At 41.1% G+C, this 16,588-nt stretch overlaps 1 pseudogene, besides 1 other annotated feature; it reads left to right on the plus strand.

The window, feature by feature from the left end:
• Positions 441–1,049, plus strand: EEF1DP8 (eukaryotic translation elongation factor 1 delta pseudogene 8; annotated as a pseudogene).
• Positions 6,653–6,832: a silencer, noted in NCBI's record as "fragment chr11:61942903-61943082 (GRCh37/hg19 assembly coordinates)". NCBI's record gives its function as "represses an EF-1alpha promoter that drives an FKBP-Casp9 reporter gene in an ReSE screen in K562 erythroleukemia cells {active_cell/tissue: K562}" and the evidence as "EXISTENCE:reporter gene assay evidence [ECO:0000049][PMID:32094911]".

The following is a 16,588-nucleotide window of genomic DNA, read 5'->3' on the forward strand; positions in this document are numbered from 1 at the left end:
GATTATTCATGTGTCTGTTGATGGACACTTGGGTTGCTTCTGTGTTTTATTGTGAATAATGCTGCTGTGAACATGGATGTACAAATCTTTTTTTGAGACTCTGCTTTCAATTATTTTGTGTATACCCTGAAGGGGAATTGCTGGATCATGTGGTAACTCTATTTTTACTCTATTTCTGGCCTTTCTATTTTATTCCATTGGTCTACATGGCTGTCTTTATGCCAGTACCACATTGTTTTGATTACTGTCACTTTGTAGCAAGTTCTCCAGCTTTGTTCCGTCTTTTCAAGATTGCTTTCACTATTTGGGGTTCCTTGATATTCCATATGGATTTTATAATTGTTTTTTCTATTTCTGGAAAAACCATTTTTGGGATTTTGATAGGGATTGCATTGAATCTTTGGGTAGTATTGACATCTTAACAACATTAAGTCTTCTGTTCTCTTGCCTCAGGCGTCCCACGTCCACCGATTCCTCCTCCCTCGTTGCTGAGTCCTTGGCTGGCATCAGAAAAATGGCTACAAACTTCTCAGTATATGAGAAGATCTGGTTTGACAAGTTCAAATATGACATTGCAGAAAGGAGATTGTACGAGCAAATGAACGGGCCTGTGGCCAGCACCTCCCGCCAGAAGAATGGCGCCAGCGTGATCCTCCATGACATTGCGAGAGCCAGAGAGAACATCCAGAAATCCCTGGCCAGAAGCTCAGGCCCCAGGGTCTCCAGCGGCCCCAACGGAGAACACAGCGAGCTTGTTGTCCTGATCGCCAGTCTGGAAGTGGAGAACCAGAGGCTGAGCAGCGTGGTGCAGGAGCTGCAGCAGGCCATGTCCAGGCTGGAGGCCCAGCTGAACGTGCTGGAGAAGAGCTCTGCTGGCCACCGGGCCACAGTCCCTCAGACCCAGCACGTGTCTCCCATGTGCCAAGTGGAGCCCTGGCCAAGAAGCCAACCACACCAGCAGAGGATGACAAGGGCAATGACATTGACCTTTTTGGCAGCAACAATGAGGAGGAGGACGAGGAGGCAGCACAGCTGCGGGAGGAATGGCTGCCATTTCCCCCAGTAATTAGAAAAGCCTTATTGTGAGGTTTTTGATACCTTTTTATAGTTTTATGTTGTCATCTTTGTTTTAAGGAATATGTGAAGTTGTTTCAAAATTGGGAACAAGAATTGTCACATTCTTTTGTTTTTTCTTCATATTTTCTCCATATTTTTCTTGTTTTCCTCTTTTGCCCTCCAGTCCTGGGAGGAAAGTAAGTGTCATGGGTGAGGACTTTCCACTTCCTGGACCATTGGAGTCTCTGGGACCATCCACAGTCCCTAAGCCTGGGAAAGTGCTCTGTTCTTTAGCATATTAAAAATGGCCCTAGCCTGTCCTTAAATGACTCTAGAGGGGTCATTCAAGTGCATGTTTGTATGTGGAAAGATGATTAATATGTCACATATGGCTTAAAGGAGCCAGCAGGATCTTGAGACACAGTAAAAATATCCCCCCGCCACCCTTCAGAGGTGGGGAATTTTGATTCCTCCCTGGTAAATCTCTGTCAAATTACTAATTATTGATCTCTGATAATTACCAATTATTGATCCCTAACTCATGACTGTCTCCTTTACAGCTGGTGAGCAAGCCACTGATTCTAGACTTTCATGACTTTCTGATGACTTCCTGATGACTTCCTACTGACCAAATGATAAACCGCTCAGAATTTCCTGTCTGCACTGTGTGGGATAGTGTCCCCTGAGCCACCTTCTTTCTCAAATTGCTGTTATATTGTCTTAATCCACAAGGAAGGTCTTGTGTGAACATATGTATACATCCAGAGTGTTCTGGTAGAATTATAGCTCCCCTTGCACTAAGGGGTGCCCGGGGCACTTACATGATGTGTACTTGTTGTTAACCACCGCTCCCCAGGGGCTGGATCTTATCCCCTGTGCATAATCAGAAGCAGTTTCCCTAGTCTTGGTTCACCTGGTTGCAGTTCTCACCCTCTTCCTAGGAGTCCACTCTGCTGAGTTCCCATCAGGTCTTCTTCTGCACTGACTCTATGCCAGGTAGCTGGAGGTTAGACTGTTCCTTCAGCCTAGGTACTTTCTTTCTTCACCTCTTCATCATGTCCTCCAAAAAGCCTCCTATGTATAGGTTGGTTTACGTGGCCATTTTTTTTTTCTTTCTTTCTTTCTTTTGTTTTGTTTTGTTTTTTTTGTTTGTTTGTTTTTTGAGACGGGGTCTGGCTCTATCACCCAGGCTGGAGTGCAGTGGTGCGATCTCGTCTCACTGCAACCTCTGCCTCCCAGGCTCAAGCGATTCTCCTGCCTCAGCCTCCAGAGTAGCTGGGATTATAGGCGCGCGCCATCAGGCCTGGCTAATTTTTGTATTTTTAGTAGAGACAGGGTTTCACCATGTTGGTCAGGCTGGTCTCGAACTCCTGACCTCGGTGATCCACCCGCCTCGGCCTCCCAAAGTGCTGGGATGACAGGCGTGAGCCACAGCGCCCGGCCCGTTTTATTCTTTTAATTACCAAAGGCTGGCCTGTAGTAGGAGATGTCTGATGAGTTTTTCTTAAATTGAACGCCAACAATAAGGTTTGAGCCTCAAGGTGGCGCCATTTCATGTAGAGTCTGGAATCTCTGAACACTTGAAATAGACCATCCGTCACTAGCAGGAGCCCTTGCGTTCCGTTCCTGGATGCCGTTCTCAAAGTGAACACAATGAAATACAAGTTTCACTCGTGTTTGCATAAGGTCAAAACAACTGACAGGGTCGTTTCTTCTTGAGAGGACTGTGCGTTATCCTAGCAGGTGTATATACTATTTATCTCGTCAGATTTCTTACCAAGGAGACAGAAGCTGAGAAGAAATGAGATTAGGGGTTGTCTATCAAGGACAGAGGGAAAGAAGGGGGTAGCTGCGACTGTGTTTGTGGTGTGTGGGATGAAAAGGAAGATTTGAAGGATAAAACTAGAAGGGAAGTGAAGATGACTCCAAAGTGCCTTATTTGGAGCGGGATGAGACTGACTGGATGGTTCATGTTAAAGGGATCGTCTCAGCACAGCTGAGGGTTTTTCACACATACTATTATTTAATTCTACTGACTTTCACGTAAAGAAAGTGTAGTCTTTATTTACTGAGACTTAAAAAGATTAAATGGCTTTTCCAAGCTCACACAGTCCATATAACCCAGAGATGGGAAAATATATCTGGACCCCAAATCCTTAATTTTACTTGTCTGCCTGCCCGCCTCTTCCCTGTTGAACCTGGGGAGGCATCAGGGCATCCTGTTAGTGGTGTCCCACAGATAGACAAATTTTACCCTGGATTACGAAAAGCTGGATTAGCTTTCTTACTTAAACAATACTGGGGCCGGGCGTGGTGGCTCATGTCTGTAATCCCAGCACTTTGGGAGGCTGAGGCAGGCAGATCATGAGGTCAGGAGATCGAGACCATCCTGGCCAGCATGGTGAAACCCCGTCTCTTCTAAAATACAAAAAGTAAATTAGCTGGGCACGATGGCGCCTGCCTGTAGTCCCAGCTACTCGGGAGACTGAGGCAGGGGAATCGGTTGAACCTGGGAGGCGGAGATTGCAGTGAGCCAAAATCACGCCACTGCACTGCAGCCTGGCAACAGAGCAAGACTCTGTCTGAAAACAAAACAAAACAAGAAATAATACTGGAACTTCTTTCCCTGCTGTTGCTCCAATTCCCTTCCCTGGATTATTTTCCTCTTTGTCACTACCACACATCTAGAAAGATTAGCATTTCTATTACAGAAGCAAATGTCAAAAGGAGATTTAGAGGGAGTTACAGTTGCTTAAAAAAAAAAAAACCCCTGCCCTTTGCCATCACAAGCCCATGATCGTCACAGTTATCTGTCAGTCAAGCACCTGACCGTAATGGAAGTCAACAAATAAAACGCATCACTTGAGACCGGATAAAGAACACAGGATGAGCATGAGTTTAATCCTTGTCCATCCTCTTTAGAAATCTGAAAAAAATAACAACTTAAAATGACAACAAAAGAACAAAGTGGCAAACTCTACAGTATAGTGGAAACAAGCAAGTGACAATATTTGATGAGAAATATTTAAGCTTTTCTGATGGATGGAGAGCAGATAGGATGAAATCTACAGAGAAATAAGATGAGAGGAAACTGAAGTTCAAACATGTGCTGGAGAAAAAACCTTCAGATAGAGGAGCTTTTGGAAAGAAAGAGGAAATTAGGTTTAAGATAGGTCTTGGATAATTATTGAAATTGAATACAGGCAGGATGAGAGTTGAAATACACAATGAGATGTGGACAGCGACCTCACACCACTTTGCTCTGTTCTTCTGCAATATATGTTTTTTTTCACATAATGTTTTTATTGTTCCCTTCAGTGCAAAGGACTATTGGGGAAGAAGGGTCTTCCCAGTGGGCAGCAGAAAACCGTGAGATTAAGCAAAAATAATTGCTATCAAGGATCCTAGGTGAGTATGAGTTCAGAAGTTTGCTGGTCCATTACAAGTCTTGGGGTTATTCAGTCTGCTTCTCTGTGCAGTTCTTCTAGAATTCTGTTAAAAAAAAAAAGCCATCAACTCATTATGGGTGCCAAAGGGGTAACCCCTTTTCCTTCTAGGCTAAATATGAAAAAAAATCTGATTTTCATCATCCTAAGTGGCACCTGTTTTTGCAGAGGATACCAACTGCCTCTTTTGGGTGGTCTCAGACTCCCCTTCTTTGGGTGGTACCTTTGATGTGGTTGTGCTTGACGTTCTCAAGTCTCTGGTTTTCAAGGTGGGACAGACTTACCATGAGATGCAGGTATCTCAAGCAAGGTCCAGCACGACTTACTAACTGCGGGGATGGTCAAGATAGGGTGTTAGGGCCTGGCTTACTTCGCTGCCAGGCAGTTCTTTCTCTGACATTCCTTTAGGTAAGATCAGTTCCCCAGGTAGAAGAGATGTATTGGAAGAGAGCCTCACGTTGGTGTCAGCCTTGACAGGAACTTAGGATGAAGGAGACTCCTTGACTGACTGATTGACTTCCTTCCTTCCTTCCTTCCTTCCTTCTTCTCTCTCTCTTTCTTTCTTTTTTTATTTTGAGACAAAGAATCACTCTGTTGCCCAGGCTGAAGTGCAGTGGCGCGATCTCAGCTCACTGCAACCTCTGCCTCCCGGGTTCAAGCGATTCTCGTGCCTCAGCTTCCCGAGTAGCTAGGATTACAGGTGCCTGCTACCCCACCCAGCTAATTTTTTTGTGTTTATAGTAGAGACGGGGTTTCACTATGTTGGCCAGGCTGGTCTCAAACTCCTGACCTCGTGATCCACCCGCCTTGGCCTCCCAAAGTGCTAGGATTGCAGGCGTGAGCCACCATGCCCGGCCAAAACTCCTTGACTTTCAAGAATCTGCTCTATTGCAGAGGAAAATTGCTGGACCTCTCCTGGGGCCATGATGATTTCACAGGAGCAGAGCCCCACAGCTGATTTGAACACATCCTGCATGTTCATCAAGACATTAGGAGGGTTTTAGGCCACATAAAGTCTGTTCACTATAGTTTATGTCACCTCTGTTTTGCCACTGAATTTGTATATAGCCTTGTCAGAGCTCTGGGGAGGGTGTGGGATATATGGTTGTAATTTGATGTCTGAGGCTTTGCATACCCGTTGGAAAATTCCGTAAAATGAGACCCTTGTTCTGAGTCTCTGTTGAATAGAATTGCCCCAAGGAGACTGTATTACTAAAGCAAATGGAATAAGCCCTCAACAATAAATGGAATTGGGTAAAGCTATACAGACATATCATTGCAACATCGATTGGAGTTTGAAGTTAATTCCAAATACAAAGTTATGGAATTGTATTGTATTACTGAGGTAAAAGGTATCACGATTAAAAAGTGCCTGCTTTCCAGAAGCTTCAGGCCATCCAGAGAACGTACTCTTTAGATCTGGGTTATGGATGTACTCCACTAATGGGAGATGATGTATGAAGTCAATTTAAAGGTGGATGAAGAAGGGTCCCCAAACTCTAGGTGGTGTCCCAAATGGTATCTGCACTGGTTTGCAGCATTATGAACAGCACAAGTAGGGTAGTGCAGCTGGGCACGGTGGCTCATGCCTGTAATCCCAGCACTTTAGGAGGCTGAGGTGGGCGGATTGCTTGAGGTCGGGAGTTCGAGACGAGCCTGCCCAATATGGTAAAAACCGATCGCTACTAAAAATACAAAAATTAGCCTGGCGTGGTGGCGTGTGCCTGTAATCCCAGCTACTTGGGAGGCTGAGGCACGAGAATTGCTCAAACCCGGGAGGTGGAGGTTGCAGTGAGCCGAGATTGAGATCGCACCACTGCACTCCAGCCTGGGCAACAGAGTAAGACTCTGTCTCAAAAACAAACAAACAAACAAATAAACAAAACAAATAGGGTAGTGCATACAGTGAGAAAATATTATTTTGGAAAATTCAAGAACAAACTAAGAATCTTTTCCTTTTCTTTTTTCTTTTTTTTTTGAGACGGACTCTTGCTCTGTTGCCTGGGCTGGAGTGCAGCAGCATGATCGTACCTCAGTGCATCCTTGAACTCCTGGGCTCAAGCAACTCTCCCACCTCAGCCTCCTGAGTAGATGGGCCTACAGGCAAGTGCCACCACACCTGTCTAAGTTAAAACTTTTTGTTTGTTTGTTTTTGCAGAGACAGGGTCTTGCCATATTGCCCAGGCTGGTCTCAAACTCTTGGGCTTAAGCGATCTGCCCCCTTCAACCTCCCAAAGAACTGGGATTACAGGCGTGAACTACTGCACCTGGCCCCAAACTAAGAATTTCTGATTTCTTTCCTTTATTCTTCTTCCTAGGGTATGACACAGGTAAAGGATTTAGACAGCACAGGACCAGTTGATCACGGCAAGATTTGGTGAATAAAGTGAAGGAAACGACTTCAGAGGTCCTTTTCCATATTGTGGGACTTACAACTCAGAACTTGCAGCAAGAATTCTGAGTATGTATGAGGTCTGCAAGGAGTTTGTGACATGTGATACATTGGTGACCTGGGTACCAGCAGAGATTCTTGAAGCTTTGACTAATGACCTGACATATGTATTTCAATTTTTGATAATCATTAAATAAATGAAGTAACATGTTAATATATCTCTTAATAAGCTGAGGGCTTAATGAAGCCCTTTTTGATTTTGTATATTCATGGATTATATTTTTTATTGCTAAAATGAGACAATTTTATTCATGTTTCTCATCTTCAAAGATGTAAAATCTGTAAATACTTGTTACATAAATGGGCAGATGGGAAAAGAATGACTATTGCGATAGTGATACCACTTGGTTCTCTGAATTCCTCTGAGCTATAGGCTAAAGATGACATAGTGATTTATCACTCAAAATTATTATTTTTAATTTTTAATTGACACCTAATACAAAAATGTGATGTTTTAATAAATGTATACATTGCATAATGATCAATCAGGGTAATTAACATATCCATCATCTCAAACATTTATCATTTCTTTGTGGTGAGAACATTCAAAATCTTCTCTTCTAGCTATTTTAAGATACCCAATATGTTATTATTAACTACAGTCGCCCACTGAGTGATAGGACATCAGAACTCATTTTTCCTAATTGTAACTTTGTACCTGTTGACCAACCGCTCTCCATCCTCTCTCTTCCATTCCGTACCCTCTCCAGTATCTGGTAACCACTGTTCTACTCTCTACTTCTATGAGATCAACATTTTTATTTTATTTATTTATTTATTTTTAAATTTTTTTGAAATGAAGTCTTGCTCTGTTGCCCAGGCTGGAGTGCAGTGGGGCAATCTGGGCTCACTGCAACCTCTGCCTCCTGGGTTCAAGCGATTCTCCTGCCTCAGCCTCCCGAGTAGCTGGGATTACAGGCACGTGTCACCAAGCCCGGCTAAGTTTTGTATTTTTAGTAGAAACAGGGTCTCACCATGTTGGCCAGGCTGGTCTCGAACTCCTAGCCTCAAGTGATCCACCCACCTTGGCCTCCCGAAGTGCTGGGATTACAGGCGTGAGCCACTGTGCCCGGCCAGATCAAAAACTTTAGATTCCACTTATGAGTGAGAACATGTGTTATTTATCTACTGTGTCTGGCTTATTTCACTTTACATAATGTTCTTCAGGGTCATCCATGTTGTCACAAATGACAGTATTTCATTCTTTTTTTATGACCTAATAGTATTTCTTTGTGTACATATACCACATTAAAAAAATCCATTTATTTGCTTTTCAACACTGAGGTTGATTCCATATCTTAGCTATTGTAAATAGTTCTGCAATAAGCATGGGATTGTAGATGTCTCTTGAACATACTGATTTTGTTTCCTTTGCATACAAGGTTGACCCTTGAGCAACATGGGTTTGAACTGTGCAGGTCCACTTACACACCGCTTTTTTCAACCAAATGTCAGTTGAAAATGCAGTGTTTGAGGCATGTGAAACTTGTGTATATGGAGGGCTGACCTTTTGAATATAGGGGTTCCACAGGGCCGAATGCAGGACATGAGTTTGTGCAGTTTTTGATATATGTAAGGGGTGAGTGCCTGGAACCAATCCCCTGAGTATAGAGAAGAATGATTGTATACTCTGTGGTAGGATTGCTGGATCATATGGTTGTTTTATTTTTAATTTTTTGAGGAAACTCCATACTGTTTTTCATGACCGTACTAATTTATATTTCCACCAATAGTGGGTAAAAGGTTTTCTTTTCTCCACATCCTCGATAATACTTGTAATAGCCATTCTAACAGGTATGACCTAATTGTGGTTTTGATTTGCACTTCTCTGATCAGTCTATTAAGGTCTATTAAGTCTTAGGTCTATTAAGGTCTTTTGCCTATTTTAAACATTATTTTTAATGATTTATCAGCCACTGCTAAATTAAGACCTCCTTTGAGTTTATTAAAAACGATAAATTAGATACCACTTGATATGGAAAAAATGTTGTTATCACAAAACAATACTTTAAATAGTTTCTTTGAAGTCTAGAGATTTCTACCTGCAGAGTCCATGCTCTGTGTTAAGATTCTGATGAAGGATGCATATGCCTTCTGTCTTTAGTGAAATGGAACGAGAGTGATTATGGAAGGGAGGTAGGAAGGAGAACCAATGTGACCACATGATCCATAAATAGTAAAAGCCTATATGATGTGAGGATCTCAAAGTGATCCCTTAAAAGTCTCCATCCCCCAAGTGTGTGTTCATCAATTTGAACACTGTGTCCCTAGAATATCCTTGGATGATAACCTCAGCCAAAAGGACACTTGCGACCAGCACATCCTGCTGAGGACGGGAGTCCAGAGACTCTGTGTGTCTTGGGGATTGGTAATGTTTACCCAACTTCCGACCCTTCTATGTCCTTTGGTCCAAGATTCATTAAGGATATTAACAGCACAATGATATTCACTTGGACTTGACCATATGTGAGTAATTATCTTAACTGTGAGAAATGTCAATGAAACCAAAGCCAGATTCTGAAGCACACTTTGGTAGCATAGGATAAATAAACATTCCTTATTAATAGACTCAGATTTAGTTTGATATTTTACTTTGGGATTGAGGTGATTTATTTTATTTGACTTTCTCTCCCCTTGTTGTTACATAATTGCAATCATTGACATTTACTGCTAGGCACTGTACTGGGTACTTTTCCTTTACTAATTCATTTATTCTTTATACAAATCCTATGAGGTAGATGCTTTTTTTATCACCTTATTTTACAGATGAGGAAACTGTGGCTGCAAGGCTAAGCAACGAGCTGAAAAACTCACAAGTTGGGTATATATCCAGAGAACAATTCATATTCCAAACACCACTTCAGAATTCAAAACAAAGCATACAGCTACCCTATTCGGATTCTGATGGGGGCTGCCTGAATTTGTAGAATAATTGAGAATAGTTGACATCTTAAAATTTTCCAAAATTTGCTTCAGAACAAGGTGTGTGTCTCCATTTGTTTAGATTCCCTTTTATCTTTGTGTAAATTTCACGTAAAATTTCATGATTTTATTGTTAAAAGTTTGTATATTTCCAATACATATGTTTCAGTATATTTTTGTTGCTACTGTCGTTACTATTGTCGATGGTATAATTTTTTTCCTGTTATGTAATGCAATAGCTGCTTACAGGAAAGTGATTCATTTCCAAATTGGTGATCATTATTCAGCTAACTTGATAAACTCATCAGTTTCATTATTTATTTATTTTCTAATTAATATTATGTAATTTTTTTCTTAAGGAAAATAAAATACAAAATTATCAGACACCAGAACGATGGATGATGGAATTCATTCAGCATCTATTACTGTACTCCCTAAGTTTCCAGTTGAAATATTTAAAAGCCATGATAGATGGCTTTTTTTTTTCTTTCCAACTTTGTTTTTTTTAGGTTCAGAGGGTACATGTCCAGGTTTGCTATATGGGTAAATTGCATGGCGTGGGGGTTTGGTGTACAGATTATTTCATCATCAGGTAATAAGCGTAGTACCCAATAGGTAGTTTTTCAATCTTCACCCTCCTCCCACTCTCCACCCTCAGGTAGGCCCTGGTATCTCTTGTTCCCTTCTTTGTGTCCATATGTATTCAATGTTTAGCCCCCACTTGTAAGTGAGAACATGCAATATTTCATTTTCTGTTTCAATGTTAATTTGTTTAGGATAATGGCCTCTAACTTCATTGCTGCAAAAAAACATGATCTCATTCTTTTTTACGGATGTATAGTATTCCACAGTCTATATGTACCACGTTTTCTTTACCCAGTCCACCGCTGATGGGCGTCTAGGTTAATTCCAGGCCTTTGCTATTGCGAATAGTGTGGCAATGAACATATGCATGCATATGTCTTTAGGGCAGAATAATTCATATTCCTTTGGGTATATATCCAGTAATGAGATTGCTGGGTCGAATGGTAGTTCTGCTTTAAGTTCTTTGAGAAATTTCCAAACTGCTTTCCACAATGGCTGAACTAATTTACATTCCCACCAGCAGCGTACAAACATTCCTATTTCTCTGCAAACTTGTCTGCATCTGTTAGTAATAGCCATTCTGACTGGTGTAAGACGGTATCACATTGTGGCTTTGATTTGCATTTCTCTAATGATTAGTGATGTTGGGCATTTTTTGTATGCTTGTTGGCCACGAGCATGTCTTCTTTTGAGAAGTGTCTGTTCATGTCTTTTGCCAACTTTTTTTTGTGTTTTTGTTTGTTTGTTTGTTTGTTTGTTTTTAGGCAGGGTCTTGCCCTGTTGCCCAGGCTGGAGTGCAGTGGCACAGTCATGGCTCCAAATTGCAGTCATGGCTCCAAACTGCAACCTCAGCCTCCCAGGCTTAAGCGATCCTCCCACGTCGGCCTCTCAAACTGCTGGGGATTACAGGCATGAGCCACTGTGCCTGGCCTTTGCCAACTTTTTAATGGGATTGTTTGTTTTTTGCTTGTTAATTTGTTTAAGTTCCTTTTAGATTCTGGATAGACCTTTGTTGGATGCGTAGTGTGCAAATATTTTCTTCCATTTTGTAGATTGTCTGTTTACTCTGATGATAGTATATTTCGTTGTGCAGAAGCTCTTTAGTTTAACTAGGTCCCATGTGTCAATTTTTTTTTTTTTTTGCAATTACTTTTGCCATCTTCATCACGAAACCTTTGGTAGGGCCTATGTCTAGAATCGTATTTCCTAGGTTTTCTTTTAGAGTTTTTATAGTTTCAGGTTTTACAGTTAAGTCTTTAATATATTTTGAGTTGACTTTTGCATATGGTGAAAGGAAGGGTCTCGTTTCAATCTTCTGCATATAGCTAACCAGTTATCCCAGCATGATTAATTGAATAGGGAGTCCTTTTTTCCTTGCTTGTTTTTATCAACCTTGTCTAAGATTCGATGGTTGTAGGTGTGTGACTTTGTTTCTGAGTTCTCCATTCTGTTCCACTGGTCTATGTGTCTGTTTTTGTACCAGTGCCAGACTGTTTTGGTTACTGTAGCCTTGTTTGAAGTAGGTAATGTTATGTCTCCAGCTTTGTTCTTTTTGCTTAGGATTGCTTTGGCTAGTCAGACTCTTTTTTGGTTCCATATGAATTTTAGAATAACTTTTTCCAATTCTGTGAAAGATGTTATTGGTGGTTTGCTAGGAATAGCATTGAATCTGTAAATTGCTTTGGGTGTATGGCCATTTTAACAATATGGAGCCTTTCCATCCATGAATATGGAATATGAAATGTTTTTCCATATGTTTGTGTTGTCTCTGATTTCCTTCAGTGGTGTTTTATAATTCTCATTGTAGAGATATTTTACCTCCCTGGTTAGCTGTATTCCTAGGTATTTTATTTTTATGGATGGCTATTGTGAACGAGATTGTGTTTTTGAGTTAGCTCTCATCTTGGACGATATTGGTGTATAGATATGCTACTGATTTTTGTGCACTGATTTTGTATCCTGAAACTTTCCTAAAGTTGTTTAATAGCAATTGGAGCTTTTGGGCAGAGACTATGGGGTTTTATAGGTACAGAATCAAATCATCTGCAAACAGGGGTAGTTTGACTTCCTCTTTTCCTATTTGGATGCAGTTTCTTTCTCTTGCCTGATTGCTCTGGCTAGGACTTCTAGTACTATGTTAAATAGGAGTGGTGAGAGTGGGCATCCTTGTCTTGTTCTGGTTCTCAAGGGGAATGCTTACAGTGTTTGCCCATTCAGTATGTTGTCTGTGGGTTTGTTACAGATGGCTGTTATTATTTTGAGGTATGTTCCTTTAAAGCCTAGTTTGTTGAGGGTTTTTATCAGAAGCCTTTTCTGCCTCTTTTGAGGTCATTATGTGGTTTTTGTTTTTAGTTCTGTTTATGTGATAAATCACATGTATTGATTTACATATGTTCAACCAAACTTGCATCCTGGAAATACCTACTTGATCATGGTGGGTTAGTTTTTTGATGTGCTGCTGGATTTGGTTTGCTAGTATTTTGTTGAGGATTTTGCATCTATGTTCATCAGGAATGTTGACCTGAAGTTTTCTTTTTTTCATTGTGTCTCTGTGAGGTTTTGGTATCGGAATGATTCTGGCCTTATAGAATGAGTTGGGGAGGAGTCCCTCCCCTCAATTTTTCGGAATAGTTTCTATAGGATTGGTGCAACTCTATATGTGTAACAGAATTAGGCTGTGAATCCATCTTTTCCAGGGCTTTTTCTGGTTGGTAGGCTTTTTATTACAAGTTCTCCTAGAACTTGTTATTGGTCTGTTCAGAGTTTCAATTTCTTCCTGGTTCAATCTTGAGAGGTTGTATGCTTCCAGGAATTTATCCATTTCTTCTTGGTTTTCTAGTTTGTGTGCATAGAGGTGTGTAATACTCTCTGAGGGTTTTTGTATTTTGTTGGGGTCGGGGGGAGGGGGTCGGTGGTAATGTCCCTTTGTCATTTCCGATTGTATTTATTTGGATCTTCTCTCTTTTTTCTTTATTAGTCTAGCTAGCAGTCTATCAATCTTATTTATTCTTTCAAATAACGAAATTTTGGTTTCATTCAGCTTTTGTGTGGTTTTTCACATCTCAGTTTCATTCAGTTCAGCTCTGAATTTGGTTATTTCTTTTCTTCTGCCAGCTTTGGGGTTGGTTTGCTGTTGTTTTTATAGTTCTTCTGGGGATCACGTTAGGTTTTATTTGAGATCTTTCTAACTTTTCGATGTGGGCATTTAGCACTATAAGCTTTCCTTTTAACACTTCTTTACTTAACACTTCTGTTCCAGAGATTCTGGTATGTTTTATCCATTTTCACTAGTTTCAAAGAATTTCTTGATTTCTGCCTTCATTTAATTGTTTACCCAAAAGTCATTCAGGAGCATGTTGTTTACTTTCCATGTAATTGTATGGTGTTGAGAGATCTTAGTGTTGATTTCTATTTTTATTGCACTGTCGTTCAAGGGTGTGGCTAGTACGATTTCACTTGGTTTGAATTTGCTGGGAATTGTTTTATGGCCAATCATGTGGTCAATTTTAGAGTATGTGTCATGTGCAGATGAGAAGAATGTATATTCTGTTGTTTTCTGGTGGAGTGTTCTGCAGATGTCTGTTAGGTCTATTTGATCAAGTGTTGAGTTCTGGTCCTGAATATCACTGTTAGTTTTCTGCTTCGATGACCTGTCTAATACTGTCAGTAGGGTGTTGAAGTCTCCCACTATTATTATGTGGTTATGTAAGTCTCTTTGTGAGTCTCTGAAAACTTGTTGTATAAATAGGTGCTCCAGTGTTGGGTGCATATATAAGTAGGACAGTTAAGTCTTCCTGTTGAATTGAACCCTTTATCATTACGTAATGCCCTTCTTTGTCTTTTTTTTTTTTTTTTTTTTGAGACAGAGTCCCACTCTGCTACCCAGGCTGGAGTGCAGTGGTGCAATCTTGGCTCACTGTGACCTCTGCCTCAAGTGATTCTCCTGCCTCAGCCTACTAAGTAGCTGGGATTACAGGCGTGTGCCACCACACCGAGCTAATTTTTGTATTTTTTTTTAGGCAGAGTCTCACTCTGTCACTCAGGCTTGGGTACAGTGGCACAATCTTGGCTCACTGCAACCGCCACCTCCAGGGTTCAAGTGATTTTCATGCTTCAGCCTCCTGAGTAGCTGGGATTACAGGTGTGCACCATCACGCATGGCTAATTTTTTGTATTTTTAGTAGAGATGGGGTTTTACCATGTTGGCCAGGCTGGTCTCAAACTCCTGACCTCAGGTGATCTGCCCACCTCAGCCTCCCAAAGTGCTGAGATTACAAGCATGGGCTATTGCTCCTGGCCTAATTTTTGTATTTTTTTTTTTTAGTAGAGATGGGGTTTTGCCATGTTGGCCAGGCTAGTCTCAAGCTCCTAGCCTCAAATGATCTGCCTGCCTTGGCCTCCCAAAGTGCTGGGATTACAGGGGTGAGCCACTGTGCCTGGCTTTCTTTGTCTTTTTTTGATCATTGTTGGTTTAAAGCCTTTTTTGTCTAAAATTAGAATAGCAATGCCTGCTCTTTTATGTTTTCTGTTTGCTTGGTAGATTTTTTCCATTTCTTTGAGCCTATGGGTATCATGCCTATGAGATGAGTTTCTTGAAGACAGCATACAGTTGGGTCGTTCTTCTTTATCCAACTTGCCAGTCTGTGCCTTTTAATTGGAGTATTTAGCCTGTTTATGTTCAAAGTTAATATTGATATGTGCAGATTTGATTGTCATTGTGTTATTAGCTGGTTGTCATATAGACTTGATTGTGTCATTGTTTTATAGTGTCAATGGTCATGTACTTAAGTGTGTTTTTGTGGTGGCCAGTAGTGGTTTTTCATTTCCATGTTTGGCATTCTGTTAAGGACTTCTTGTAAGGCAGGTCTCGTGGTACTAAATTTCCTTAGCAGTTGCTTGTCTGAAAAGAATCTTATTTCTCCTTCACTTATGAACCTTAGTTTGGCTGGATATGAAATTCTTGGTTGGGATTTATTTTCTTTAAGAATTCTGAATATAGGTTCCCAGTCTTTTCTGGCTTGTAGAGTTTTTGCTGAAAGGTACAGTTAGCTTGATGAGGTTCCCTTTGTTGATGACCTGCCCCTTCTCTCTAGCTGCCTTTTTTTCTTCCATGTTAACCTTGGTTAATCTGACAATTATGAGTCTTGAGGATGGTCACCTTGTATACTATCATCTAACAGGGGTTCCCTGCATTTCCTGAATTTCAATGTTGACCTCTTTAGCAAGGTTGCAGAAATTTTTGCAGAGAATATCCTCAAATATGTTTTCCGGCCAGGCACGGTGGCTCATGCCCATAATCCCAGCACTTTGGGAGGCCGAGGTGGGTGGATCACCTGAGGTCAGGAGTTCAAGACCAGCCTGGCCAACATGGTAAAACCCCGTCTCTATTAAAAATACAAAAAAATTAGCCAGGAGTGGTGGTGAGTGCCTGTAATCCCAGCTACTCGGGAGGCTAAGGCAGGAGAATCGCTTGAACCTGGGAGGCAGAGGTTGCAGTGAGCTGAGATCATGCCATTGCACTCCAACCTGGACAACAGAGTGAGACTCTGTCTCAAAAAAATAAAAATGTTTTCCAAGTTGCTTGCTCTCTCCCCTTTTCTTTCAGGGATGCCAGTGAGCTGTGCGTTTGGTCTTTTTACATAATCCCATATTTCTTAGAGGTTTTGTTCATTCTTTTTTATTCCTTTTTCTTTATTTTTGTCTGACTGAGTTGATTTGAAGAATCGTTCTTTGAGCTCTGAGATTCTTTCCTCAGCTTGGTGTATTCTGTTGTTAATACTTCCGATTGTATTACACAATTTTTTGTAGTGAGTTTTTCAGCTCTATCAGATCAGTTTGGTTCTTTCTTAAAACGACTATTTTCTCTTTCAGCTCTTGTCTCATTTTATTGGATTCCTTAGATTCCTTGAATTGGGTTTTGGCCTTCTCCTGAATGTCATTGATCTTCGTTCCTATTCAGATTGTGAATTCTGTGTCTGTCGTTTCAGCCATTTGAGCTTGTTGGGGAAACCAGCCCCACACCACCTGGCGGGTACCCCGAGTCCAGCCGAGACAAAGGAGTTAGAAAGAGACAGAATAAAATTTTAAAAGGCAGGTCCAAGGGACCGGAGCGTCAGAGGCTTGCTCA

This window comes from Homo sapiens, chromosome 11, assembly GCF_000001405.40.
Source record: "Homo sapiens chromosome 11, GRCh38.p14 Primary Assembly".
Taxonomy (NCBI): domain Eukaryota; kingdom Metazoa; phylum Chordata; class Mammalia; order Primates; family Hominidae; genus Homo; species Homo sapiens.